The sequence below is a fragment of the Homo sapiens genome, chromosome 9, assembly GCF_000001405.40.
Source record: "Homo sapiens chromosome 9, GRCh38.p14 Primary Assembly".
Lineage (NCBI taxonomy): Eukaryota > Metazoa > Chordata > Mammalia > Primates > Hominidae > Homo > Homo sapiens.
This window is the reverse complement of record NC_000009.12, coordinates 93,085,362-93,113,329: the sequence shown is the minus strand read 5'-3', so window position 1 is coordinate 93,113,329 and position 27,968 is coordinate 93,085,362. Positions and strand designations below refer to the sequence as shown.

Below are 27,968 nucleotides of genomic sequence, written 5' to 3'. Positions count from 1 at the left end.
TGCAGTCATCTCTGAAACACCCCTGAGACTGAGGAACGAGGCAGGCTGAGAGAACCTGAACATTTAATATGGTCAGCACCTTGTAAGGTGAAGGTGTGTTTTTTACACAAATTATAAATAATGAAAAATATGCATTTAGAAAAAGAAGCAGCAGTCCCCTTGGCGGGCCGGCTCGAGGACTCTTTGGTTGAGTGGCAGGTGAGGCCCTGGGTCCAGGGTCTGTCAGAGCCCCCCTAGGTCATCTGCCAGGAAGGCCAGCAGGTAGCGGCTGACATGTCTGTCGATGATGACAGGCGAGAAACCGAGGACGCGCCGGGTCCCTGGCAGGCCCTTGGGGTCTAGAAGACAAAAGGGGAGGCAAAAGCTCAAGAACCAGTCCCAGAGGTGAATTCTGTGTTTCCATCCCTCCTGCGGGGGTGGGTGGGAACAGGCACTGGGACAGGGTGCTCCCTCCCGGTCATGGTCTCGGCTTGAGTTGAAAAGACAAGAATTAGGGCAGATTCCAGAGCCCCCAGCTCCCACCCGAGTGACCCACGGGCCTTTGAGTCCTGCCATGTGTGCCTGTGTCCCCTCACCCAGTAAGCCTCCCAGCACGACAAACTCAGGCATCACAGAAAAGGGAGACGGGGCAGGCCAGGCTGGGTGCCAGTAGAGGGGCCCTGGAAGGTTCCTGTGCATCAGGCCTGTGGCTGCTGGAGAGACCCAAGGCCCTGGGGCACGTGACCTGCTCAAGGGCCCCACATGGTTCAAGGTCACAGATGTGGCAGGGCTTTGTAACACCCAGAGTCCTGGCTGCACCCCTCCTCCCGCTAGAGGTCATCATTCTCTGGTTCCCAAGGGTGGCAGGGGCCAGTGGACGCTGGGAGCCTCCTCACATCCCCTTTCTCAGGAGCCCTGCGAGGTGACACCATCCCACTGCACAAGTGTGGACACCGAGGTACGAAGAGGCCAAGGGGTCCCAAATTGGGCAGGGTCTGGGGCCCTGGCTTGGTGGCAGAGGGGAGGCAGGCCCAGCCCCATGAGGATCCGCTTGCACCCACCTGGCGGATAGCAGTACAGGAGCAGGGCCAGTCCCACAGCAAGGCCCAGGCCAGCCAGGAAGCTCATGGGTCCTGGGGAGAAACCAGCGTGAACAGGGCTCCCCTGGGCCTCAGAGGGGTGGGGTCCTGAGGCCTGGGGGCTGCGCAGGGGAGTGGGGGTGCCAGGCTGAGGTGCTGCCTGAAGAGCCCCCAAACGAGCACCTTAGGGGGGGGGTCTGTCACCAACAGAAGGCCAGGAATGGAGCCAGACTTGGGGTGGAGAAGCCCCTGAGGCGGAGATGGAGCCCTGGGGAGGGTAAAGAGAGAGGGAGAGAGAGGGAGAGAGAGGGAGGGGCAGCAGGGAGGTGTTACCCCTGTTACTCAGCTCGCCGCTCTGGCTGCCCGAGTCTAGCTCTGTGCAATCTGAGTTCTCTGGAAACAAAACCACAGAGCATAGTTAGTCAACGGGCAGGGCCGGAGGGCAAGGTAGTCACCCCGCAGGAAGCCCAAGGTTGCTGCTGCCTCCTGGGGCCGCCAGGCCGAACCAGGCTGTGGCACCTGAGGCTAGCCCTCCTCAGGGAACTATGCACAGTCTGGGTCTTCTCCTCTGCTCCAACTCCTGGACGGGCCTAAAGGCACCCGGGAGCCACAGAAGGTGCTCTACCTCCAGTGGGGCCAAGGCTTGGCCCTGCCTGGTTTTGAAAGCCCCCTGTGGCATACTCGTGGCTGGGGAGGGAGAGCCAGTCCCACCTGCAGGGCTGGGCCTCCCCTCGAGCTCTCCCCGCCCACCGTCTGCACTGTGTTCTGTGAGGCGTGGGGAGGCCTCCAGGGGGTCAGAGACCACAGCCCAGTAGCCTGGGACAAGCCGCCCAGTCCCTCTGGTCTCTGTCCTGTTGTCTAAGGGCCAAGGGGCAGTAGCCCCTCCTCCAGGGGCCCTGAGCACAGAGGCGTCAGATCAGAGTTGCCATCTTCAACTTGATATGCCCCCCACATCCCAGCAGCTCTGTGGGCCCAGGCTACTGGCATCCACATGACTCCCAGGGCCTGAGTCCACACTGCCTGAGGACAGGAGCCTCAAAACTGAAATGCACGTGCTTCGGACCAGCCATCCGTGCCTGACAATGTCCTATGGAAACACCCACACGTGTGCAGATCGCTGCAATGAAAGGGTCCGTCATGGGGTTGGGTAATTCCAGCTGGGACCGCCTAGGAGCGCCATGCAGCTGTGGGAACAAGGTTGCTGTCCACACAGACATGAAGGGATCCCCGTGGAATGAGGTTAGAAAAGGAAGGGCAAGAGTGGACGTATAAGATGCCCCATGCTGTGTGAAAACTGCCATGAGAGAGAGACGGAGGAAGGGGGAGAAAGTGGGAGACAGAGACCAACATCTGCACTGCCTGTGCCTGCCACACTCTCCCCTCGGGGCCAGAGGGTGGCCTCTGGGGAGGGGCTGAGGCGAGAGGGGATGCCAGGCCTGGGCTGCAGCAGACTTGGGTGGTCATGGAGGACATCCATGCCATCAACGGCAGGCTGGGGTGCCCTCCCCGGGCCAGCACCAAGCATGCATGGTTGGTGATGTGGAACTTACGCAGAGCGTGGCGGCTGGGCAGGCGGCTGTGCAGGGGCTGGGCATGGATATACAGGGCTCGGTAGAACTCCTGGCAGTCCCGCTCACCGCTCCGCTGCAGGTGGCTCAGGAGGTCACAGAGCCGCACACGCAAGGATGCCTTGGGGTTCCGGAACTGAGGGTACAAGGGGGTGCCAGGGAAGATCAGGCCAGGGGGGCTGGCTGTGGGTCAGGGCAGGGCACCAAGGTCAGGCCCCCAGCCTCAGCTTCCCTGTTGGGTGTCAGGACACCTGCTGGATGGCAGCTCCTGTGACAACCTGCCCCTTACCCACACCACATAGTGCCTGGCATTGCCTCTGTCACAGGCATCACTGCTACTCCTCATACTCCCTGTGGGGTGGGAGGTTGGGAAACAGGCTGGGAGTGGTCACAAAGAAAGCATGGGGCTGGCAAGGTGCGGTGGCTCATGCCTGTAATCCCAGCACTTTGGGAGGCTGAGGCAGGCAGATCACGAGGTCAGGAGATCGAGACCATCCTGGCTAATACGGTGAAACCCCCGACTCTATTAAAAATACAAAAAACTTAGCCGGGTGTGGTGGTGGGCACCTGTAGTCCCAGCTACTCGGGAGGCTGAGGCAGGAGAATGGTGTGAACCCGGGAGGCGGAGCTTGCAGTGAGCTAAGATCGTGCCACTGCACTCCAGCCTGGGCGACAGAGCAAGACTCCATCTCGAAAAAAAGAAAGCACAGGGCTGGTGACATCATTCCAAGTGTTGGGACATAGTGTGGCTTCCTGTGTGACCTTAGCCAGCTACTCCACCCCTCAGAGACTTGGTTTCTTCATTTGTAAAAAAGGGATAATGAACCCTCATGGTAGGCTGTGACAGGGAATTAATGAAGTGATGGTATAAGTGCTAACTTCTGTTATTTTTCAGTCTACAGAATGTGATTCAAGTTTTAAAAAAGTAAGTTGAAGCCAGGCACAATGGCTCATGCCTATAATCCCAGCACTTTGGGAGGCTGAGGCAGGCGGATCAGGAGTTCCAGGTCAGGAGTTTGACACCAGCCTGGCCAACACGGTGAAACCCCATCTCTACTAAAAGTACAAAAAATTGACTGGGCATGATGGTGCATGTTTAATCCCAGCTTCTTGGGAGGCTGAGGCCAGAGGATTGCTTGAAACTGGGAGGCAGAGGTTGCACTGAGCCGAGATCATGCCACTGCACTCCAGCCTGGGCGACAGAGACTCCATCTCAAAGAAAAAAAAAAAAAGACAGAAGTATTGGCTCTTTTGATGTGTATGACAGAGAAATGTGTGGTTCTCAAGGTCAGTGGACAGGCCACTGGGCCTTGACCTCCAGGACCTGGAGTCTGTGGCCTGGTGCTGCCACCTGGTGGCAGCATATCATTCTACATGGCCACAGGGAACTGGAGTTAAACCATGGCAGTGTGAAAATGGCAGGCAGATGGGTGGCAGGAGCTGTGGTGTCTGTGAGGAAGGAATATGTGCTTTTTCTTGTATAAACGTCTTAAACTTTCTAAACTTTTTAAAAGTGAACATGCATTAGACTTCAATTGCAATAATAAGAGATTTGGATTTGAGCTCCTAACTTTTAAAATTACTGTACCACCTTCAAAACGGAAGAAGCACCTGAGCCAGTAGCAGGGCCCGTGTTGACTCCTGTTCTGTTGTGGGCCAACCTCATTGTTCCAGGAGATGCCCCAACCCTCAGGATAGCCCTGCACGTGGCACCTGTCAAGGAACAGGTGGCTCAGTGGGGGCGCCAGAGCCACAGATGTGGGTAGGGTCGGCAGGGTGTGGCTAACTCTCTCATCCAATGTCCCCTCAGGGCCACCTGGCACTGGGGTGATGGAGCAGAACAGACCTCCCAAGACAGAGCCCAGGAATTGCATCTTAAATGCCATCTCCAGCAGAGCCACCCTGGTGTGCCCAGCTCTGCAGCTCTGAGAGGCCAGGGCCATGTGACAGAGTGACAGCCACTGGCCCTGGGCACTTTCCCAAATAATAGGATGAACTCAAGATGTGGCCTGACACTCCTGAAATGAGTGGCCCTGGGCAAGTGGCTGCCTCTTGAGCCTTCGGACCACCTCTGTGAGATGGGGTGATGAGCGTGGCTGCCCACAGGGCTGCAGGGCCATCTGGCGACAAGGGCTCTCGGGCAGGCGTTTACCCGGCTCAGCTCAGTCAGTCCTCACCACACCTGCCAGGCAGGGGCTCTCGGTGTCCACTCCACACATGGGGGAGGCTGGGGTTCTGAGGGGACCAGCCCGCTCAGCACTGCTGAGAGGGGCAGACTGGGGCGCGGCTGTGGGGTGAGTCAGCATCTGCCTTCCTAGAAGCTCAGCTGCCTACCTGTGACATGCTGGGCTTTCCAGCCTCGTACAGTAATATAGAAATTAGAGAAAAGGAAGCAATTGTTTGCCCGCTTTGAACCTTCGGAAGATGCAGAGTGCAAAGCCCTGTGGCACTGGGGTGGGCCGGGCCCATTATCTGTTCCCCATCCCACTTCGGCTCTCCCTCTGCCTCCTCCCTCCTCACCCCTCCCTCCTGCCCTCTTTCTCGCCTCCCTCCGTATCTTATACTGTTGTGTGCTTCATGTATTGTCACATGTTATCTCCTGTAACCTCCCAGCAACTCGGGAAGGGGACAGCAGACCCAATGACATATGAAGAAACCGAGGCACAGAGAGCTGATGTTCCGAGCCTGGTTGGGCTCACCCCAAAGGGCCAGTTTGTAGCTCAGGCAGCCTTAGTAGCCAGGTCCAGATGTGTCACCTCTGAATCCTGACATACCTAGTGTGTCATCCCATGAGAGAATGACCCAGGGCTGGTCACCAGCTTCTCCCAGCCCAGAAAGGAAGGGAAACTGAGCAGTGTCTCGGGTACCCCCCTCACCTCCTCAGCACCTTTTCCGCCTCCTTGTTGGTAAGGATCTGTGGGTAGTAACGGTTCAGCTGGAGGATGATCCTGTCCACCTGCTGCTCACTCAAGCGCCCATGGCCTGTCAGGAAAGGCGTGTCCTGCACCAGGCGGTCACAATAGGTCTGATCTAAAACAGATAGCACAGGGTCATGAGCCAGCACAGCCCAAGGGGACCAGAGACGACAGCCTCGTACTGACACTGACCACAGGAAGGCATCACCCCCAAGGTGGGTTCCCACCAGGAGGGTGAACCTGCAGAATCACAGCCATCCCAGCCTGTGTGGTGCGCATTGCCCAGCTGAGAGCTGCCCCTGGCCTGCCAACCTGCCTCTCCAGAAGATGGAAGTGAGGGGTTGCGGTGGAAACCCACTTTCACAGAGCTTATCACAGAAAACAAACTCAGAGGGGCGAAGAATCTACTTTTCATGGGCCACCTGCAGGGCCATCAGGAAATAGCTCAGTTCTGGGGAAGGTACAGGTGGCACAGGTGGCTCAGAATGCCCAGGGCCAGGCACGGTGGCTCAGACCAGTTGTGATGGCTCACACCCGTAATACCAACATTTTGGGAGGCTGAGGTGGGTGGATCACTTGAGCTCAGGAGTTCGAGATCAAGAATGCCCAGATGTGCGCTCTGCAGATCTTCACAGTGGCACAGATACAGGGACACAGGGCTCAGGGTGGCCTGTGCTGGGATCACCATGGGACACAGTGTGTCTGCAAGGCCTTAAGAAGCTTCTACCAACAATAAACCAGTGAGTTCTCCCAGAGGGCTAGAAATGCTTTTCATTTGCCTTTTTTTTTTCCAGAATCACCATTAAAATATCATTTTACCACCTTTTCCATTAAGAATGTTTCTTAGAATGGCAGATGTTTAAGGCTGAGCGGTGGAGTGATGACGGAAGGGCATGGAGAGGATGGGGCACAGGACCCCCACAGGGACTGAACAAGTGCATCACCCTACATACTTGTGGCAGCTTGTCCTGTTTCCCCATGTACACAAAGAAAATATTTATAGAATATAACACAAAAGAAACTGAGAAGGGACTCTAAATGTGTTACTATAAAATATCAACAAAACACAAAAGAAGGCAGTAATAGAATAAATGAGGGTCAAAAAAGCTACAAGACATACAGGAAACAAATAGCAAAATGGCAGTAGTAATACATTCCTTATCAGCAATTACTTCAAATGCAAATAGGTTAAACTTTGTTTTTTTTTTTTTGTTTTTTTTTGAGATAGAGTCTTGCTCTGTCACCCAAGCTGGAGTGCAGTGGCCCAATCTCGGCTCACTGCAACCTCTGCCTCCTGGGTTCAAGCAATTCTTCCTGGGATTACAGGCATGTGCCACAACACCCAGCTGGTTTTTGTATTTTTTTTTTTTTTTTAGTAGAGACAGGGTTTCACCATGTTGGCCAGGCTGGTGTCAAACTCCTGACCTCAGGTGATCTGCCTACCTCAGCCTCCCAAAGTGCTGGGAATACAGGTGTAAGCCACCACACCCAGCCAAATTTTCCTATCAAAAGGCATAGATTGGCAGAGTGGATTTTTAAAATATGATACAACTAAGTGCTGTCTACAAAAGACTCACTTTAGATCTAAAGACACAAAGAAGTTGAAAATGAAAGGATGTAAAAAAAACCCATACAAATAGTAAACAAAAGAGAGATGAGGTAACTATACTAATATCAGACAAAATAGACTATAAGTCAAAAACGATTAGAAGAGATTAAAAAGTACATTATGTATTAATAAAAGGATAAATTCATCAATAATATGTAACAGTTATAAACATATATGCACCAAATATCAGAGCTTCAAAATATATGAAGCAAACACTGGCAGAATTGAAGGGAGAAATAGATATCTCTATAATAATATTTGGAGACTTCAAAACACCACTTTCAGTAAGAGACAGAACCACTAGACAGAAGATAAATGAGGAAACAGGACTTCAACAACACCGTAAGCCAATTATACCTGGCAGACATACACAGAACACTCCATACCACAATAAAGAAGAGATATTTTTATCAAGTGCACATGAAACATTCCCCAAGATAGGCCACAAAACAAGTTTGTAGCCACAAAATAAGCTTTAATATATTCAAAAAGGTTGAAATCATATAAAAAATATTTTCTGATCACATAGAATGAAACCAGAAATCAATAATAGAAAACTAAAAAAACTCACAAATATGTGAAAATTAAACAGCCAATGGGGCCAGGCATGGTGGCTCACACCTGTAATCACAGCACTTTGGGAAGCTAAGGCAGGCAGATCACTTGAGGCCAGAAGTTTGAGACCAGCCTGGCCAACATGGCAAAACCCCATCTCTACTAAAAATACAAAACTTAGCCGGGCATGTTGGCGCACGCTTGTAATCCCAGCTACCTGGGAGGCTGAGGCACGAGAAATCCTTGAACCTGGGAGGTGGAGGTTGTAGTGAGCTGAATTTGTGCCACTGCACTCCAGCATGGGTGACAGAGCAAGACTCTGTCTCAAACAAACAAACAAAAAACCAATGGGTCAAAAGAGAAATCATGAGGTAAATTAGGAGGTAACATGAGAAAGGCAGAAACACACACACACACACACACACACGCACACACACACGCGCGTGCACACACACACACACACCTTACACCGCGCTAAAACCTAAGGGATGCAGCAAAAACAATGCTGAGAGGGAAAATTATAGTTGCAAATGCATATATTAAAAAAATCTTAAATCAGTAACCTAACATTACACCTTAAGGAATGAGAAAAGGAAAAAGTAAAGACCAGAGAGCTTGAAGAGCAAACTAAACCCAAAGCTCACAGAAGGAAGGATATAATCAAGATTAGAGTGAAGACAAATGAAATAGAGAATCGAAAAACAGTGGAGAAAAATCAAGAAAACCAAAGTTGATTCTTTGATAACATCAATAAAACTGACAAAACTAGCTAGACTGACAAAGAAAAAGAAGACTCAAATTACTAGTATCAGGAATAAAAGTAGGACATTACCATGAACTTTACAGAAATAAAAAGGAATATAAGAGAATACTATGAACATTTGTATACCAATAAATTGGATAACGTAAATAAAATGAAAACATTCCTAAAAACACAATCTACCAAAACGGAACTGTGAAGAAATAGAAAATCTGACCAATAACTAGTAAGATTAAATCAGTAATCAAAAATGTCCCAAGAAAGAAAAGCTCAGGACCAGATAGCTTTGCTGGTTAATTCTACCATATATTTAAAGAAGAACTAATATAGCTTTGCTGGTTAATTCTACCATACATTTAAAGAAGAACTAATACCAATCCTTCTCAAACTTACAAAAAAAACTGAAGACGAGAGAACACTTCATAACTAATTCTATGAGGTCAGCTTTACCCTGATACCAAAATCAGACAAAGTCACTTCAAGAAAAGAAAACCACTTTGGGAGACAGAGGCAGAAGAGTCACTTGATGCCAGGAATTCAAGACCACACTTGGGCAATACAGCAAGACCTTGTCTCTGTGAAAAAAGAAAAATGGAAAAGAACACTACAGACCAATACTCTTTATGAATATTGATGGAAAAATTAATAAAATCCAGCAAATCAAATTCAGCAGCATATTAAAAGAAGTATACATTGATTTATTCCTGGAATACAAGGATGGTTTAACATGTACAAATCAAAAATCAATCAATGAAATATACCACATTAATAGAATGAAGGAAAAAATACATGGCCATTTCAGTTGACATAGAAAAAGCATTTGATAAATGTCATCATTCTTTCTTGATATAAATATTCAATTAATTAGGTCTAGAAGATGCTATGGTTTGAATGTGTCAACAAGCATGTATTGGAAACCTAATCCTCAAAGTAACAGTACTGAGAGATAGAACCTAATGGGAGGTATGTAGGTCATGAGGGCTCTACTGTCTTGAAGGGATTAATGCCAATTATAAAAGGGCTTGAAGTTTCAAATTTGTTTTCTTCCTCTCTTGCTCCCTCTCATTCTCTCTAGCCCTTCTGCCTTCCACCATGGGATAACACAGCAAGAAGACCCTCACCAGATGCTAGCTCCCTGATCTTGGACTTCCAAAACTCTAGAAGCATGAGCCTATAAATTTCTGCTCATTATAAATTCCCCAGTTTCAAGTGTTCTGTTATAGCAGCACAAAATGGACTAATACAGAAGGAAATTTCATCAACATGATAAAGGCCATAGAGTTGGCACTCTATCTCTGCAGTTTCCATATCCAGGGATTAAATCAACAGCAGATATAAAATATTTGGGGAAAAGCAATACAAAATAACAATACAACCAAAAAAATACAAGTTTTAAAAATACAGTACAACAACGATTTACATAGCATTTACATTGTGTTAGGTATTATAAGTAACCTAGAGATAATTTAAAATATATGGAAGGATGTGTATAGGTGCAAATATTATAGCACTTTATATAAGGGATTTGAACATCCTCAGATTATTTTGAGGGGATTCCTGGAACCATCCCACCTCATATATTGAAGGACATTTTTATATGAAAAGCCCACAGCTAACATCATACCTTAACGGTGAAAGACCGAAAGCTTCTTAAGATCAGGAACAAGATAAAGATGTCTGCTCTTACCACTTCTATTCAACATAGTACTAGCAGTCCTAACTAGAGCAATTAGGCAAAAAAAGGAAAAGGGAATAAAAGGCATCCAAATTGTAAAGGAAGAAGTAAAATTTTCTCTGTTCACAGATGACATGATTTTATATATAGAAAACCCTAAAATCTTTTTCTTTAAAGTTAGAGCTAATTAAAAGCATGCAGCAAGGTTGCAAGATATAAAATCAACACACAAAAATATTTCATCTCTACATACTAACAATGAACAATCCAAAAATTAAGAAAACAACTCAATTTATAATAGCATTGAAAAGAATAAAATACTTAGGAAAAAATTTAATCAAGAAGGCAAAAATCTTGTACACTGAAAGCCACAAAACATTGCTGCAAGCACTACCCAGAGCAATCTACAGATTCGATGCAATCCCTATCAAAATCTTAAGTGTTTTTTGCAGAAATAGAAAAACCCACCCCAAAACTCATATAGAATTTCAAGATACCTGTATAGCCAACAACAAAAATCTTAAAAAAAAAAAAAAACAACAACAGGGTTGGAGGATTCATATTTCCTGCTTTCCAAACTTAGTGTAAAAATATACAATAATGAAAACAATGTGGTACTATCATAAAGACACACATATGGGTCACTGGCATAGAATAAGAGAGTCTAGAATTAAACCCTATTTTTAATTAAAAGAGTGGAAAAAAAGAAAGTGAAAAAACAGTTCACATAAATGGAAGAAATATTTGCAATGCATATATCTCATAAGGGATTAGTATCCTTACTCCATAAAGAACTCCTACAACTGAACAGCAAAAGACACAGAGAACCCAATTCAAAAATAGGCAAAGAACTTGAATAGACATTTCTCTAAAGAAAATATACAACTAGCCATCAAGCACACAAAAAAATGCTCATCAGGCCAGGTGCAGTGGCTCACACCTGTAATCCCAGCACTTTGGGAGGCTAAGGGGAGCAGATGACCTGAGGTCACCTAAGGTCAGGGGTTCGAGACCAGCCTGGCCAACATGGAGAAACCCTGTCTCTACTAAAAATACAAAAATTAGTCGGGCATGGTGGTGCGTGCCTGTAATCCCAACTACTTGGGAGGCTGAGGCAGGAGAATTGCTTGAACCCAGGAGGTGGAAGTTGCAGTTAGCCGAGATGGCGCCACTGCACTCCAGTCTGGGAAACAGAGCGAGACTTGGTCTCAAATTAAAAAAAAAAAAAAAATGCTCATCATTAGTCATTAAGGAAATTCAAATAAAAACCACAATGAGATATCACTTCGTACTCATTAGGATAGCTATATATTAATATAACAAATGTTGGTGAGGATATGGAGAAATTCAAACTCTTTGGCATTAGTGGTGAAAATGTAAAATAGTGCAGCCACTGTGGAAAAAAACAGTATGGCAGGTCCTCAAAAATCTAAACATAGAATTATCCTGTGATGGCCGGCACGGTGGCTCACACCTGTAATCCCAGCACTTTGGGAGGCAGAGGCAGGCAGATCATGCAGTCAGGAGATCGAGACCATCCTGACTAACATGGTGAAACACAGTCTCTACTAAAAATACAAAAATTAGCTGGGTGTGATGGCGGGTACCTGTAATCCCAGCTACTTGGGAGGCTGAGGCAGGAGAATCGCTTCAACCCGGACGGTAGAGGTTGCAGTGAGCCAAGATCATGCCACTGCACTCCAGCCTGGGCGACAGTGAGACTCCGTCTCAAAAAAAAAAAAAAGAATTACCGTGTGATCCAGAAATTCTACTTCTAGGTATGTACCCTAGAAAACAAAAAGCAGGAACTCAGTCGAGGGTGGTGGCTCACACCTGTCATCCCAGCACTTTGGGAGGCTGAGGTGGGCAGATCGCTTGGGGTCAGAAGCTCAAGACCAGCATGGCCAACATGGCGAAGCCCCGTCTCTACTAAAAATACAAAAAGCTAGCCAGGCGTGGTGGCACTCGCCTGTAGTGCCAGCTACTCAGGGGGCTGAGGCACGAGAATCACTTGAACCCAGGAGGCGGAGGTTGCACTAAGCCAAGATCACACCACTGTACTCCAGCCTGGGCAACAAAGTGAGACTCTGTCTCAAATAAATAAATAAATAAATAAATAAATGCAGGAACTCAAATGGATACTTGCACACTGGTTTTCATAGCAGCACTATTCAAAATAGCCAAAAGATGGAAATAGTGCAAATGTTCACCAAAAGACGAATGAATTATCAAAATGTGGTATATACCTATGTACAATGGAATATTACTCAGCCCTAAAAAGGAAGGAAATTATGATACGTGGATGTTACAACATGGACGAACCTTGAAAACATTATGCTAAGTGCAATAAACAAGGCACAAACGGACAAATATTATATGATTCCAATTATATGAAGTACTTAGAGGGGTCAAATTCATAGAGACAGAAAATAGAATACAGATTACCAGGAGGTGTGGGCAGAAGGAGAAAGGGGAGTTATTGTTTAACGGGTACAAAATTTCTGTTTGGGATGATAAAGAAGTTCTGGAAATGGCCAGTGGTGATGACTACACAACACTGTGAGTGTATTTAGTATCACTGAAGTGTACACTGAAAAAATGGGTAAGAAGGTAAATGTTATGTTTCCATATATTTTCTCACAAAAAATGTAAATGGATAAATAAACTCTGGTTTATCCATACAACGAATATTATTCAGTGCTAAAAAGAAATGAAGGCTGGGCGCGGTGGCTCACGCCTGTCATCCCAGCACTTTGGGAGGCCAAGGCAGGTGAATCGTTTAACCTGGGAGGCGGAGGTTGCAGTGAGCCGAGAGTGCGCCACTGCACTCCAGCCCAGGCAACAGTGAGACTCTGTCTCAAAGAAAAAACCAAAAACAAAAACAAAAACAGTGTCATCATGTTGAACACAGTGGGGCCCCCTCTTGGGTTCACTCCTTGAGGCACAGACTCAACAGACTGTTTTACTTTGTCATGTCTCTTTCCAGTTGCCACTTCCTCCTGGCTGGTCTTTCTGTACCCCAGAATGTGGACCCACCCCAAAAGCAGCCATGCTCCGTGGGGCCCTGTGCAGACCCTACAGACTGAGGCCCAGGTGAGAACAGCCCGTCTCAGTACGCTCGCCCTGTGCGGGGCTGGGGACCACGGTGATGGGCAGATCCATCCTCCAGGGGCTCACAGTGTAGGGGTGCGGGCTGGCATTCACCAAGCAAACCCACAAACGTATCCTTAACCCCAGAGATACCTGCCCTCCAGAGAACAATAGGGGGGCCATCCTGGTTCACAGGGCCCCTGATGATGCCCACATTGAGGCCATCAGCCACTCCATCATCTGGCTGAAGCCACTCACCGTGGGCCGCGCAGGGAGGCAGATGGCTGGGGGCTGGAAAGGCTGGCTCAGCCCTCACCTGCACTGAGTCCCACAGCAGCCTATGCGGACTTGCCAGCAGCCCCATCATGGTGAGGAAGCTGAGCACAGGGACGTCAAGTGACCTGCCAAGGCCACATGGACAGGCCCAGCTGGGCAGTCTGGGTCCAGCGCCTGCAGCCCTCTCGTTAAAGAACTAAGATGAATTAGCCAAAATTCACAGAGCAATCCCATATGTCTGGCACTCTGTGAGCCCTACGTCACCTACAACCTTCATCCTTCCAACAGCTTTGCAACATAAGGACAACCACCAGCCCCATTTTCAGGTAGGGAAACTAAGGCACAGTGAGAAGATAAGGTACCTGCCCAAGACTGCAACCAGATATGAAGTGACAGATCAAGATCCAGGCCCAGGCACAGCCATGTTGAGGACCACCTCTTGATATTCAGACGTTCTGCCTCTCTAATTAACATGGAAATTCACTGTAATCAGCTACAGCAGTCTACTCCCTGCCAGTCCAAAAGCACGCCCAAGGCTGTCCTCTCCAGCATTGCCCACTTGGCTGAGCACCCAGTAGGTGCTCACTAAAGAGTTCTGCAGGCCGGACGCGGTGGCTCACGCCTATAATCCCAGCACTTTGGGAGGCCGAGGCAGATGGATCATGAGGTCAGGAGTTCAAGACCAGCCTGGGCAACATGGTGAAACCCCATCTCTACTAAAAATACAAAAAAAATTAGCTGGTCATGCTGGCACACGCCTGTATTCCCAGCTACTCAGAAGGCTGAGCCAGCTACTCAGGAGGCTAAGGCAGAAGAATTCCTTGAACCCAGGAGGCAGAGGTTGCAGTGAGCCAAGATTGCACCACTGCACTCCAGCTTGGGTGACAGAATGAGACTCTGTCTCAAAAAAAAAAAAAAAAAAAGAGTTCTGCAATGTATGGTCCAAGACCCAGGGGCAAGGGCTGTAGGTGGACCGTGGCCAGCATCCTGTAGTGGCTTCCTCCTGCCCTGCAAGCCGCTAACCAGGCAGAGCCTCCGCTGCTGCAGAGCCATGAGTCACCATGAGCCGTGAGTCAGCTGGCACAGGCCGCACGGTCCGGAGGCTGAAGCCAGGCTCTGCGGCTTGGGGGTCCTGTGCTTCCTGTGGTTGCGAGTTGTGCACACAAACAGGCAGCACTTGGAAGCCAGAAAAGGCACAAGAAGGGAAACCATCTCAGTGCCAGCTCCCGATAAACAAGTCCCTGAACTGTTTTTACAGGACAAAGGAAGATGGCTCGCTCTGGCACAGACCTGGCAAGCCTTCACCACGCCCTACATCCCCTTCCTTCTTGCCAGGCTGGCACCAGGACTATGGACCCCCATTCAAACACCCCAATATGAACCTTCTTATCAGCCCAGACTGATGCCCTCAGCCTGGCATTCAAGGCCCCGTGGGAGCTGGCCCCACCCACTCTCACCGGGCCCTCTAGGCCCACAAGACATCTCAGCCCAGGCTGAGAATACCTGTTCCTTGGTTTCCACCTGGTTAATTCATGTTCACCTTGCTGTTCTACGTGCAAAAGGCCTTCCTGAGTTCCTGTCATCCCCAACCAACTGGAGTCCAGACACTTGGGCATCAACCTCCTCTCCCGAATTTCTTCCAGGAAACCCCTTCTCTCAGTGCTCAGCCCAACTAAAACTGCTCACTCCCCGGCACAGCCCAGGGGGTAACTTGTCAAGCACCTGCCCCACGCAGACACCTCCTCAGCGTTCTGCAGGCACTGGCTCACATGCGCTGCTCACAGCGAGGGCTGGCGCAAGGCAGGACCCCAGTTGGTGCATGGAGGCAGTGAGCCTGGGACTATGGGTCTGCAGCCTCGCAGGGCTGTCCATATGACCCTCCCAGAGCTGTGCTCCATGGGCCTTGGTTCCCCATCCCAAAAACTAAGGGTTGTGAGGGAATGTCTCCAGGCCCAGTGAGTAGACATAGCAGGTAGGAAGCATACACTGGACAAGGTGAGGCCTATAGTCAGAGCCTTCAGGGACCCCTGCCTGATGTGGTTTCCCAGCTCCAGGGTCCCCTTATGCAAGGAAGCTTCCCTGACAGGCAGAAAGGGACAAAGTCCCTTTGTGCAGGAAGGCTCCTTAATGGACAGCAAGGCCTCAGGCTCTGCCAACACCCAGTCCCTGGGACAGGGCTCCCTGGAGACCAACACAGCTCTGAGTTGTGTCCCACGCATTCTGATGAACTCACTAAGGGAATTACGGAATCCCAGCCTGGGCAGGGCACAATTTAAGACTTTGTTTCCCCATCTGTACACAGACGAGATATTCCAGGTGTCCCCATCTGATCATTTTCAAACAGGAATCACCCAACACAGGGTCCAATGCACAGTAAGTGCTCAGAAATGAGAGCCACAAATAAGAAGAGTTAGAAGGGAGGACAAAGGGGAGCAGGTGGCAGCTGGGGTCTCTTGTGGCCTAGGCTGGAAGTCTCTTCTGGCCTGGTGTCCTGGAAGTCATCAGTTTCCAGCCCATGAGATCCTATTTGTGGGCAGGACCTAGGCTGAGACTCAAGAGAGCGAGCACCGAGAGAGGACTAGGGACTTCTGGGGCTACCCTGAGCCCCTGAGCCAATTCTGCTCCATGAAACAGAACAGTAAGAATGAAGTGTAGCTTCTGGGAACCCCCATACTCCCTGGCCGGGCTGCCATGGGGTCCCTTACCAGCCCATCACCCTCATGGGGCTTCTCCAACAGGGGAAGGTCCACAGGGCAGAGTCACCCTGTTTGGGATCAGGAGGATGGTGGGCAGGTCCCCAGACCAGAGAGGCCCTGGGGAGGAAGGCTGGGCTGGGGCCACTAGCGTGGAGCACAACAACCTTGGGGGGTCCAGTCGCTGTCCCCGATTCTCTTAGAACTAAACAGGGGCAAGAGCGTCGTGGACCACCGAAGGAGTCTGGGAGACTCCAAGAGTCCCACAGGAATCACATGCCGCCGAGGAACGCATCGCCTGTCCCGCGACCTCGCTGGGGTGGTTGTAAGGATGGAGCGTTGTTTCCGTGGCCAGAATCACAGCAGGACCGCTGTGAATTCTCTCCGGTGTCATTTCTACCACCTCCTACTCTTTCAGACCAAATTCCCCACCACGGGACACACACACATTGGCAGTGGCTGAGCCCAGACCGCGGCTGTGCAGCCCCACCCTGGAGCTGCCTTGTAGCCCCCGCCCTCTTCGGGCCCCGCACCTGGCCACCACCCATCATGCCCGGCACCGCCTCGGCTGGCACGGCCCCGCCGGGTAGAAGCCCCGGGACACCCACCACTTCGCGGGGGTGCACTCGCGCACCACCGACAGCTGACGGGCCAAGGTCACTCGGCCCCCGCTGCCCAGGCGCGGCCTGCAGGCGACTCGCAAGGCAGCCGGACCCCCGGGCCGGGCCACCCATCCAGGGCGCCCGCATCCCTGCCGCCCAGCCGACCCCGTGCCCACCTGTCATGGCGACGGACACAGCGCCGCCCGCAGTCCCCAGCGGTCTGCCCCGCCGCGCGTCCGCCCCTCGGTCAGCCGCCCGGTCCACCAGCTCCAGCGAACGCCGCCCGCGGGCCGTGCTCGCCCGCCCCTTTTGGCTAGGCCAGCCCCCCGGCTTTGGCTGTGTAGCCTCGGGGACTCTAAACCCCGCCCTTTGACGAGCCCCGCCCCCTACCGTTAGGCCCCGCCCCTTCCGCGCCCGCTACGGCTCCCCCAGGGCTCTAAACTCCGCCCCTCTCACTCGAGTCCCGCCCCCTTGCCGTCCTGGGATAGGCCGCTGCGAGGATCCTGGAGCCTTGCCCCTCACTCGAGCCCCGCCCCCTCCGGCGTCGGCTTCCGCCTCTCCCGGAGTTCTGAGCCCCGCCCTGCACCTGAACCCCGCCCCCTCCGACGACGGCTTCCGAGCCTCAAGGAACCCCCCACCGGGCCCCGCCCCTTACTCGAGCCCCGCCCCCCTCCGTCGTCGGCCTCCGCGCCTCCAGGGGCCCTGAGCCCCGCCCCTTCCTGCTCTGCCATGCGACTGCGGGCGTGGGCGGGCGACTGCGGGCGTGGGCGGGCGCCACCGGACTCCCGCCCCTCCCAGCGTCAGTTAAGACGCCGCGAGGGGCCCAGAGTCCCTCCCCTCGCTGGGCCCCGGTCCCGCCGGCGTCTATAACGCCGTCGCAGCGGCCTTTAACCCCGCCTCTCACTCGAGCCCTGCCCGCGTCCAAGTCCCGCCCTCAAGGCGGCCTCAGCTACGACCGCCGCGCGCCTCCCTGGAGGCGCCCGCTCCTGCCCGGAGCCCTGCCCGTCTTGGGCCCGCCCTTCCGGGCCCTGCCGCGTTGAGTGGCGGAGTCGGGATCCAGGTGGCCCGCCGGCCGGCTCAGTCCACCTCCCCGCTCCCGGCCTCGCGCCCCACCCCTTGGATGAGAAAACTGAAACTGAGAGGGGACGTGACTGATCCAACGTCATACAGAAAGTCAGGCCCTGGGGAGTACAGGGCCAGGCCTGGGGCAAAAGGCCGGTGGGCGTCCAGTACGCCACAGGGACCAGCCAAAGGAGGCAGTGCCCAGTGATGCTTTCCCAAATCCAGGGGAGAAGGACTCAACGGTGTGACCTCGCTCGGCGGGGTGGGGGGGGGACACCTTCTTGGGGGACCCCAGTCCCCCACCTTCAAAAGAAGACACTAGCTTGACAGTGTGACCCGAACTAGAGAGGTCACTTAACCTGCCTGAGCCTCAGTTTCCTGGACTGTAAAATGAGTGACCTTGGGCCAACTCCACTTCCCTCCCGCTTTCCTTCCTGCTTTCCCTCTCGTAGGCCTGGCATTTCCAGCTCCGGAGCCCGCCACAAGAAGCTCCTAGCCCCACATGATGTGAATGCACTGGGCCCCAGCCAGGAAGTGGAGACCCGTGAAGGAAGGAATAGCAGCACTCTCCCAGCCAGCAGCAGCAGTTTCCCTTCCTCTTTCCTTCCCTGCCTGTGTGGGCCGTTCCCCCATAGCAGCTCTAATTTGAGATGCCAGAGCCTGACCCGGAATGGGGGCCCAACTCAGTGTCCCCTTCTCGGACAGCACAGTGGTCCCTGCAGTCCATGCGCCATCTGTCTCTTTGCCTCAGTTCTCCCCTGTGCCATGACCTCCCATCAGGGCCGGCATAGGGGGCATCAGGAGAATGGGTGCAGTTGTCACCTGGAAACCTCAAAATTCTTGGGGCCCAGTCATGGTCACTATACAGCAGCCACCCCTGTCCCCAAACACTGAAGGTGAGCCCCGTCCATGCTCCCCAGGAGGCCAGGCTGCCATCAGACCCAGCCTGCCCCAGGCCCATGTACAGGGCCGTCCCAGGGCAGGAGGGTAGTGGACCAGCCTGTGGGTCCCTGCAGGCCTCTCATCTGCTTGTGTGCCTGGGTGAGTCCAGGCTGGCTCTGGCCTCCAGGTGCTCCCCTGGAGGACCCAGAGGGGGCTTCCCCAGAGGGCCTCTTTTGCCCCAGTGGGATGCAGCCTGACCCCAATTCTTCTGCATCCATCACACTGTTATGACGTGTAGTACTTACTTCTCTGGGTTTATTTTGCACACACTCCTGCCCCTGAGTGATGTCAGAGCCATAAGGGTGGCGACGGAGTGGAAGGGGGACACAGTGGGGACTGCAGGGGCTCCAGGCACTGCCCACCTTCAGGGAACCTTGACCCCAGCCCCTTTTGGGAAAGGTAGCATCCCACCTTCACATCCACTTCTGCGCCCTCAGGACTGCCCCTGGCCATGTGATGAACAGGGAAACTGAGGTTTGGAGCATGAAGCCCCTTGCCCAAAATCTAGCAGCCAGATGTGGCCTCCCAAGTACAGGTCGCTGTTCCTCAGCCACCTGAGGGTTTGAAAAGGATTTACTTAAAGGAACCCAAGCCTGCATGCAGGGACTGAAAGCCCTGTGCCCTCTGGGATGTGCCCTCCAACCCTATGAGATGGAAGGCCGCGGCAGAAAGCAGGACAGCTGCTGGTGCAGCCAGGGGTGTACAGCCTGGATGCCCACCACGGGGGCTGCAAGCAGGCACGGGCACCCCATGGTCAAATGGCAGATCCTGGGCATTCCCCCTCCCCCAGGCATAGCACACGCATCCTCCCTCCGGGCTAGCTCTTGCCAGCTGTGGCTGCCTGGACCCCAAATGGAAAGTGAGTTCTTGGGAAGGTGGAGGGGCCCCTTAGAAGGAGTGAAGTGAGGTGTGACAGGAAGCCCCGCCCTTGGACACTGTCAAAGAAAAACCAGAGCTGGACTGTGGTTACAGATGTAGAAACAGATTTTTATTCGGGACTCTTGTGATAGGGGAAGAGAGACATCAGCAGAGAACTGGGCTCAATTCCAAATACAGCAAGGACACTTGGGACAGGAGGGGACTTTGAGGATGGAAAATTAGGAAGAGGAAACATCAGGGTGAAGGGGATTCCGGCTGACAGAATTCTTGCAAAGACAGCCTGGGCTTACGAGACCTCACCCAGGGGATGGTGGGGGTAAGCACCCTGATTGGGTATCAAGGGTGATCAAGTATCCAGGGTGGGGAGTTCTTGCCAAACTCATTAGGAGGATTCTTTGTTGAAACTGGATTTTACAAGGAAGTTCACAGATGGGCCAAGGAGAAAGTTCAGGACCCTGGCTAAAGTTTGTCAAGCACAGAATCTTTGTCAACGTCACAGAAGCCAGAGCCCTGACACACACACACCCCCACTCCTCTGAACGGCCTCCACCTTACTATTTGCTTCTTTCAGATTTTCTTGCCATCACATGCTTGATCTCATTAGAAAGCAGGCACAATTTTAAAATTATACAGGCAAAGCTAATTTCCACAGGGGTTCTTTGCACTGGGTTGGGTGGGGGCACTCCCCCTGGTTTTCATAGGGCCAGCCATTCCTCAGGCCTCTGCTCACCTGCACCCTGACCCTGTGGGCTCTGCCTTCCAAGCCCAGCCCTGCTCCCACCTCAGTGACCGCCATCCCTGTTATGTCTTGCCTGGAAGGTGGCAGCCGCCTTCTCACATCTCACTGGTTCCCTGCCCCATCCTTGTCCCCATGGCCCAGTACCCACATAGTGGCCACAGGGGTCATAACACTGAGTCTGACCATCCTCCTCCCTCACCCGGGCTCACAGCCTTCCAGTTCCTCCAGCAGCCACCTCTGCCATTTACAAATCTTCATGTGTGCTGTGACCACCCAGAATGCTCTTCCCAGCTCTGTGTCTAGCATCCTCACCCCCACTTGGAGTCTGGCCCTTCTGGACCACGTCACTCGCCACTGCACCCCACCCCCCATCTCTGTTCTTCAGAGCACTAGTCTTGCCCTATGATGGCTTCTCCACTGACCATCATCTGTGCTGCAGTGTTCACTCCACAAAGGCTGGCATGCAGGAGGCACTTAATGAATGCACACAGATAGTTCTGTTGATGATTAGGGTTAAGGATAGGAGGGCAAGGACAGATGCTATAAAGATGACAGGGTGGCCTCCCCGAGAGGCTGATGCTGAAGAACGGGTGTTCCTAGGCCAGGGCAGGAGGCATGAGGCCCCCATGGGCTGTGGGAGACCTTCATGGCTGAAGCTGACTGTAACCAGGCCAAGAGGTGATGGTAGGTGATGAAGGGCCTGAACACCAAGGAGCAAGGACATTCTCCTCCCACATTCTCACATGGCCAGGGAGCATCATTTATCCATTCAGTCACTCATTAATTCATTCAACAAATATCTCCTAAACATAGGCCCAACCCAGAGCTGGATCACAAGGAAGACTGGAAGCTCCACTCCCCCATGGAGCTTCCCTGTTACCAGAGGACACAAACACACATCTGCATGTTGATCTGGTAAGAGCTAGGGAGATGAGTCAGGCAAAGAAAGAGGCGGAGGATGCCTATGAGGTTGCCAGCCTCCAAGGTGGCCCCAGCAATCCTCACATTCCAGGTCATGCCCTTGTGTAGTCTCCTCCCACAGTCAATCAGGCTGGTCTGTGTGGCCAGTGAAGTGTGGCAGGGGTGACAGTGTGACTTCTGAGGCTGGGTCACAGAGGCATCATGGCTTCAGCCTTTGCATCTTCAGATAGCTTGTTCTGGGGCGAATCAGCTACTATATTGTAAGGATGCTCAACCTGCCTTGCAGAGAGCCCTGTGTGGAGAGGAACTAGGCCCCCAGCCAACAACCAGCAGTGACTCACTGTGAGAGAGTGAATCATCTTGGAAGTGGATCCTAAGCCCCAATAGAGACTTCAGATGAAACTGCAACCCTGGCTGACATCTGACTGCAGTGGCATAAGAAACCCTTATGTCAGAATCACCCTGCAAAGCCCAAATTCTTGACCCACCAAGTGAAAGAGAATAAATGACGATTGTTGTGTTTGAACTCCCATGTTTTTGGGTAATCAGTTCCACGGCAATAAATAACTAATGTACTAGACATCTGAGCAGAGGCCTTGCTGCACTGCGGAAGCTAGATGATAGCTGGGGAAGTGTTCCAGATGAAACAGGGCAGGCAGGAGCCCCGAGGCAGAAATGAACTTGCTGTGCCTGAGAGACAACCATTGTGATATTGTGGCTGGAGTGGAGTAAGGGGAACAGTAACAGGGAGTGACTGGGCGTATTAGGCAGGGTCATGCAGGCCAGGTGGCTGGGAGCCCATGGTTTGGGGGCTGTAAGCTGGGGGAAGGGCATGGTGATTTGCTCTGATTTACATATTTTAACAACCCTCTATATACACAAAATAACTAAAAGCAAGGTCTCAAAAGAGGTTATCTGTACACTGATTCACAGTAGCCAAGAGGTGGATACAACCCAAGTGTCCATCAAGAGATGAATGGATAGGCTGGGTGAAGTGGCTCATGTCTGTAATCCCAGCACTTTGGGAGGCCGAGGTGAGTGGATCGCTTGAGGTCAGGAGTTTGAGACCAGCCTGGCCAACATGGTGAAACCCCATCTCTAGTAAAAATACAAAAACTAGCCAGGCGTGGTGGCAGGTGCCTGTAGTCCCAGCTATTCAGGAGGCTGAGGAAGGAGGATCACTTGAACCTGGGAGGCAGAGGTTGCAGTGAGCCAAGATCATGCCACTGCACTCAAGCCTGGGCGATGGAGTGAGACTCCATCTCAAAAAAAAAAAAAAAAACAGGTGAAAGGATACACAAAATGTGGCCTTAATCAGCCTTAAAAAGGAAGGAAATTCTGACCCATTCTACAACAAGGGTGAACCCTGAGGACATCATGCAAAGTGAAATAGTCTAGTTACAAAAAGACAAATACCGCGGGACTCCACCTATGTGAGGTATCTAAATTAGTCAAATTCATAGAAACAGAAGGCTGGATGGTGGCTGCCAGGCACTGGAGGGAGGAGGGAATGGGGAATTAGTGTTCCATGGGGACAGAGTTTCAGTCTGGGAAGATGAAAAAGTTCTAGAGATCGACGGTGGTGACAGTTGCATAGCAACGCGAATGCACTTAATGCCGCTGACCTGTTTACCTAAAATGATTACAATGATAATCAAACCTGTAACCTCAGCACTGTGCAAGGTCAAAGCAGGAGGTTCACTTGAGGCCAGGAGTTCAAGATCAGCCTGGGCAACATAGTGAGACCCTGTCTGTACCAAAAAAAAAAAAAAAAGTAAAAAAGTTAGCTGGGCGTGGTGGCACTTGTCTGTAGTCCTAGCTACTTGGGAGGCTGAGGTGGGATCCCTTGAGCCATGGAGGTCAAGGTGGCAGTGAGCTATGATCATGCTACTGTACTCCAGCCTGAGTGACAGAGCAAGACTGTCTCAAAGGAAAAGGTGAACTTTTTGTGTATTTTGCCATAATTTACAAAACAAACCTTCTGGCAGCTGTGTGTAAGTTGACTCTGGTCGGGGGCTTGACTGGAGGGAGACCATGAGGAGGCTACTTTCACGGTCCAGGTGAGAGGCCTGAACCGGGGCGAGGGTGCTTCTCCCTCCCACAGCTCTGAGGTAGGGAGGAGGTGCGGATTCTGGATGAAGTTTGAGGATGCGCCAAAGGACTTGCCGGAGGATTGGCTGTGGGGCCTGAGAAAGGGAAGGGCTCTGGCCTGGGGGCAGGGAAGGAGGGAGGAAAACTGAGTTCTCCTCTGTCCATGCTGAGTGTGAGATGTCTAGGGGCATCCAAATCTGAGCTCTGGGAGTGCCTGACCAATAGAACATCGTGTTAGGCCCAGGCCTTAAGGAGCCGGCAGCTCCTACTTGCTGTCTCTTGGGGTGCTTACTCTTGAAACCCAGTGAGTGAACACGCGTCTGGGAGATTCTGCCTTGGCCACTTTCTGACTGCAACCGCATGTGAGAGGCACAAGCCAGAACCACCTACTAAGGAGAAAGCAAGCCCACAGAATCGGGAGCAAGCAGGATAACATGGCGGCGGCTGCCGCTTTAAGCCAGAGTTTTGTAGTGATTCACTATACAGCGATAGAAAAATGAAACACATAGGTAACCAAGTTGCTCAGGAATTGGTTCAGGAGACACGATTTTTTTCCCCAATCACTTACATTCTACTGAATAAAGATGTCTCCTTTTGACACCTTAAGCCAATTCTCTAACTTTTCAGCCACTTCTGGTTATCAGAATGGCACTATTCCTGTATTTAAGGCTGACTCATGTTTCTTTGATAACTTAGCTTTCATCTCAACTGGAAAACATGGGTCTCACCAACACCGAATTTGAAAGACAGCTGAACCAGGCTTCAGTGGTCTTGAAGCGACAAGAAGGATGCCATCGTAGTCTGGATGTTGCTCATGGCTGTTTCCCCACTCCTTTACCACCCCTGGAGAGTGAACCCCTGGTGACTTTGTGGTGTGGTTTAGTCTGATCAACACATTATGAACAGAAGTGATGTGTGCTCCCTCCAGGCCAGAGCATTTTATTGCTGGTGCAAGCACCCCCTACCCTTGTATCCTCTTCCATCCTGGGCCTAGCACAGAGGCCATGAGACTGTGGATTGTATCCTCTTCCCCTGCCACGAGACTGTGGACTCCCATGCTGGAATGGGGGCTTCTCCACCAGCCGGGGTCCCTGGTGACCAAGGAAATAAACTTGGTGGTCTGACCCCCGAGATTCAGGGGATTGTTCGTTTCAGTAGCATAACCTCACTAGTCCTGATGGACAGAAGTTACTGGTTTTTGAGCTGAGAAGGTGAGTGTGGGAATGTGCCATGTGGCCAGCAAGGGCCAAGCATTCCAGGCAGAGGGAACAGCGTGTGCTAAGGCCTTCAGTGGGAGTGAGCTGGGTGTGTCCGGGAAATTCAGAGCGGTTGGTGGTCCCTTTTCTTTGTTCCCAGTACTAGTGGGAATTGGGCCTCTAGGGTTTTTTGGGGAGATTTGGGGCCAGCTCCTTGCCTTGGGAGCAAGGTGAAGGGGGAGCTGGCCCCAAATCTCCCCAGAAAAATCCTAGAGGCCCAGAGAGCCGAGTCCTCTTACACGCATTGTCAGACCATGCCTGCGGGACTACTCGGCTCTCTGCTCCCTAGCTGTACCATCTCTTGGTCCAGCTGAGACCCCTAGGCCATGGCGCAGACGTGGGGGGATCCAGCATGCTGCACTGTGAGGGGCTTATGCCCCACAGCTCTCCTGGGCAATGGCTGTGCCCTGCCACGCCCCATATCATTTCCTCCCCTCTGGCCCCCCTGCCCAGTGCAGCCCCTCCATGGCCATCCGGACACCCATTTCTGTAACTGTCAGCTACTGGGAGCTGGAGCCCTTCACCCCAGTTCTCCTGTTCTGTGCTCCAGTAGCCCAGGGTCAGCCACCTGGGCACAAAACACCCATTTCCTTTGCAGGCCCTTCAAATTTCAAGGGGGCCTCTGGGCTCCCCTTAGCTCCAGCCACCTGGCCTGTCCCGTCCTGCATGGTGGTGATCTACAGCCTCCACCTACCTGGTCCCGCTTCACAATGGGGGTTAGTGGTAGAAAGGGCTGAATGGGGACTAGAACTTAGAACAGGAGAGCCCGGAGCCTTTTGTCAACAGCACCAAACCTTGGTGCTGCTTAAGTCCTATAAGGAGCTAGAAGTGATTCAATATCCCTGGTATCCAGATAAGCAGTGGCACGCTGGGCTTGTGGGCAAGCATGCCACCCCAGGCCCTGACCCTGACCTGCTGCTTAGCCTACAGGTCCCCTGAGGCATGCAGCCAAGGGACACCACGTCCCACTCCCATAAAAGCCAAGGAAAGGCCAGGCGGGGTGGCTCACGCCTGTAATCCCAGCACTTTGGGAGGCTGAGGTGGGCGGATCACGAGGTCAGGAGATCGAGACCATCCTGGCTAACATGGTGAAACCCAGTCTCTAATAAAAATACAAAAAAATTAGCCGGGCGTGGTGGCGGGCGCCTGTAGTCCCAGCTATTCGGGAGGCTGAGGCAGGGGAATGGCGTGAACCCGGGAGGCGGAGCTTGTAGTGAGCTGAGATCACACCACTGCACTCCAGCTTGGGCGACAGAGCGACTCCATCTCAAAAAACAAAACAAAACAAAACAAAAAAAAAGCCAAGGAGAGCTCTCCTGAGCCTGTCAGGAGCCCCAGCAGAGGAAAGCTGCACTGGCCTGGTGAGGGCTGGATCTGCACTTCCCCTGCCTCAGTGTCCCTGTGTGCCCACAGAAGCCCTGAGATACTCCAGCACTTGACAGGAAACCACCAGGCACACTCTCTGGCCTCACAGTCCCACTCCAGAAATCCACCCAAAGGAAATGGCATCCCAGTATCAAGGTGTCTAGAAATGTGAAGGCCAGAAATGTGAAACCACCCAAGCATCCCTTGGCTGGGGATGTGTCACATAAATCATGGGACACCTGTCAGATGGACGACTCTGAGTAGCGTGAATCACGAAAGTATCTGGTTCTAAGGGACATGACAAGTGTGGCTTCAGCCCACAAGGAGCCATATAGTGTAAGGGCTTCTTCCTCCTGACCTTCGGCTTCTCTTCCTCATGGCCCCAACATGGCTGCTGGGCTCCAGGCAGGAAGCAGGGGAGGTCAAAGGGCAAACCCAGTGGCTTTTCTCAATGGCCAGAGACAGGTCACACCCCAAATTATGGGAGGCTGAAGGTGTAGTTTTAACTGGCCCAGGACAAATGTGGGGCTCAGAGTTGAAAGAGAGGGTAGGGCAGAGAGCTACAGAATGAGCTCCGAGTTCATTTTAAGTAGAAGCAAACAAGAGGTACAGCAGCAGGTAGAAATGTCTAAAACCACACCTGCAGTAGGCATGGCTATGTACACACAGGCCTGCAGTACAAATAACCCCTCTGGGAGTGAAGCTGGGAGAATAAGAAATTAGTCTTTTTTTTTTTTTTTTTGAGACAGAGTTTCATTCTTGTTGCCCAGGCTGGAGTGCAATGGCGCCATCTCAGCTCACTGCAACCTCCGCCTCCCGGGTTCAAGCGATTCTCCTGTTTCAGCCTCCCAAGAAGCTGGGATTACAGGTGCATGCCTCCATGCCCAGCTAATCTTTGTACTTTTAGTAGAGACATGGTTTCATCATTGGTCAGGCTGGTTTCACACTCCTTACCTCAGGTGATCAGCCTGCCTTGGCCTCCCAAAGCGCTGGGATTACAGGCGTGAGCCACTGTGCCCGACCAAAATTAGTCACCTTTTATAAAATTGCTTTGACAAGTGATTGGGTTAAAGGTGACTGTGATGCTTGAACCCAGGAGGCGGAGGTTGCAGTGAGCCCAGATCGCACCACTGCACTCCAGCCTGGGCGATAGAGTAAGACCTTGTCTCAGAAAAAAAAAAAAAAGGTGACTGTGATGGTCGTAAAGTGTGTCTGCCAATTCTCTTCTCACCAGTCAACACTCTTCCCACCTAGCAGTGGAGTCCAACTCTCTGCCCCTTGATTAGAAGGCAGCCTTGACTCCCAGTGAACAGACACAGCATGACTTCCGAGGCTGGGATCTGAAAGGCAAAATGGCCTCCACCTGGTGCTCACATTGCAACTCCACCTTGAACGCCGGCTGCCATGTTGTGAGGAAGCCCAGGCCACATGAGGCTGCCATGTGGGGGTGCTATGGCTGTGAAATAAAATCTTAAGCCCCACTGACTGACTGAATGGACCTGTCTTGGCCAAGGAGAACTGCCCATGACTAAGACAGGTCAGTCATGCCTCAGTACACTCCTTCCTTGCTAACCAATACCAGATTTTTTTCTTCAGAGTTAAACAGAAACTAGCTCTGAAAACAAACAAACAAACAAACAAAAAAAGGGAAGTCTCCTCTGCTGACTCTAACATCAACCAACCACTGTTACCTTTGTATTTTTCAGTATTAGAAATAATTATTTAGCTGGGCACGGTGGCTCACGCCTGTAATCCCTGCACTTTGGGAGGCCGAAGCAGGTGGATCACAAGGTCAGGAGATCGAGACATCCTGGCTAACACGGTGAAACCCCATCTCTACTAAAAATACAAAAAATTAGGTGGGCGTGGTGGTGGGCACCTGTAGTCCCAGCTACTCAGGAGGCTGAGGCAG

General features: G+C 51.8%; 1 protein-coding gene and 1 long non-coding RNA gene across 13 annotated transcripts, besides 8 other annotated features; one reads left to right on the top strand and one right to left on the bottom strand.

The window, feature by feature from the left end:
• On the bottom strand, positions 47–17,113 carry CARD19 (caspase recruitment domain family member 19). 12 transcript variants are annotated; one of them, NR_160513.1, is made up of 7 exons: positions 16,978–17,113; positions 5,503–5,656; positions 4,238–4,339; positions 2,609–2,762; positions 1,392–1,451; positions 1,041–1,112; positions 47–338 (listed from the first exon to the last, which is right to left on the bottom strand). NR_160513.1 is itself a non-coding variant. In NM_032310.5 (6 exons), exons 1-6 carry the CDS (start codon positions 16,982–16,984, stop codon positions 223–225), a joined length of 552 nt encoding a protein of 183 aa, NP_115686.3. In that variant the 5' UTR covers positions 16,985–17,113; the 3' UTR covers positions 47–222. The 12 variants fall into 12 exon arrangements, 3 of the variants coding, with proteins under 3 accessions (NP_115686.3, NP_001304940.1, NP_001304939.1); NR_134467.2 differs by having other exon boundaries at positions 5,514–5,656; NR_134466.2 differs by lacking the exon at positions 4,238–4,339.
• Positions 4,748–4,897: an enhancer, noted in NCBI's record as "active region_28614". NCBI's record gives its function as "activates an Ori minimal core promoter by ATAC-STARR-seq in GM12878 lymphoblastoid cells {active_cell/tissue: GM12878}" and the evidence as "EXISTENCE:reporter gene assay evidence [ECO:0000049][PMID:35858748]".
• Positions 5,325–5,825: an enhancer, noted in NCBI's record as "H3K4me1 hESC enhancer chr9:95869787-95870287 (GRCh37/hg19 assembly coordinates)". NCBI's record gives its function as "activates a minimal SCP1, AML or CMV promoter by ChIP-STARR-seq in primed H9 embryonic stem cells {active_cell/tissue: H9 hESC(primed)}" and the evidence as "EXISTENCE:reporter gene assay evidence [ECO:0000049][PMID:30033119]".
• Positions 14,813–14,882: an enhancer, noted in NCBI's record as "active region_28613". NCBI's record gives its function as "activates an Ori minimal core promoter by ATAC-STARR-seq in GM12878 lymphoblastoid cells {active_cell/tissue: GM12878}" and the evidence as "EXISTENCE:reporter gene assay evidence [ECO:0000049][PMID:35858748]".
• Positions 16,756–16,865: a silencer, noted in NCBI's record as "silent region_20039". NCBI's record gives its function as "represses an Ori minimal core promoter by ATAC-STARR-seq in GM12878 lymphoblastoid cells {active_cell/tissue: GM12878}" and the evidence as "EXISTENCE:reporter gene assay evidence [ECO:0000049][PMID:35858748]".
• Positions 16,886–17,635: a silencer, noted in NCBI's record as "silent region_20038". NCBI's record gives its function as "represses an Ori minimal core promoter by ATAC-STARR-seq in GM12878 lymphoblastoid cells {active_cell/tissue: GM12878}" and the evidence as "EXISTENCE:reporter gene assay evidence [ECO:0000049][PMID:35858748]".
• Positions 17,656–17,965: a silencer, noted in NCBI's record as "silent region_20037". NCBI's record gives its function as "represses an Ori minimal core promoter by ATAC-STARR-seq in GM12878 lymphoblastoid cells {active_cell/tissue: GM12878}" and the evidence as "EXISTENCE:reporter gene assay evidence [ECO:0000049][PMID:35858748]".
• Positions 17,820–21,870, top strand: LOC101927993 (uncharacterized). The gene is made up of 4 exons (NR_188444.1): positions 17,820–17,962; positions 18,316–18,759; positions 21,237–21,338; positions 21,631–21,870. It is a non-coding gene; the product is annotated as an uncharacterized LOC101927993 (long non-coding RNA).
• Positions 18,076–18,125: an enhancer, noted in NCBI's record as "active region_28612". NCBI's record gives its function as "activates an Ori minimal core promoter by ATAC-STARR-seq in GM12878 lymphoblastoid cells {active_cell/tissue: GM12878}" and the evidence as "EXISTENCE:reporter gene assay evidence [ECO:0000049][PMID:35858748]".
• Positions 23,061–23,561: an enhancer, noted in NCBI's record as "H3K4me1 hESC enhancer chr9:95852051-95852551 (GRCh37/hg19 assembly coordinates)". NCBI's record gives its function as "activates a minimal SCP1, AML or CMV promoter by ChIP-STARR-seq in naive H9 embryonic stem cells {active_cell/tissue: H9 hESC(naive)}" and the evidence as "EXISTENCE:reporter gene assay evidence [ECO:0000049][PMID:30033119]".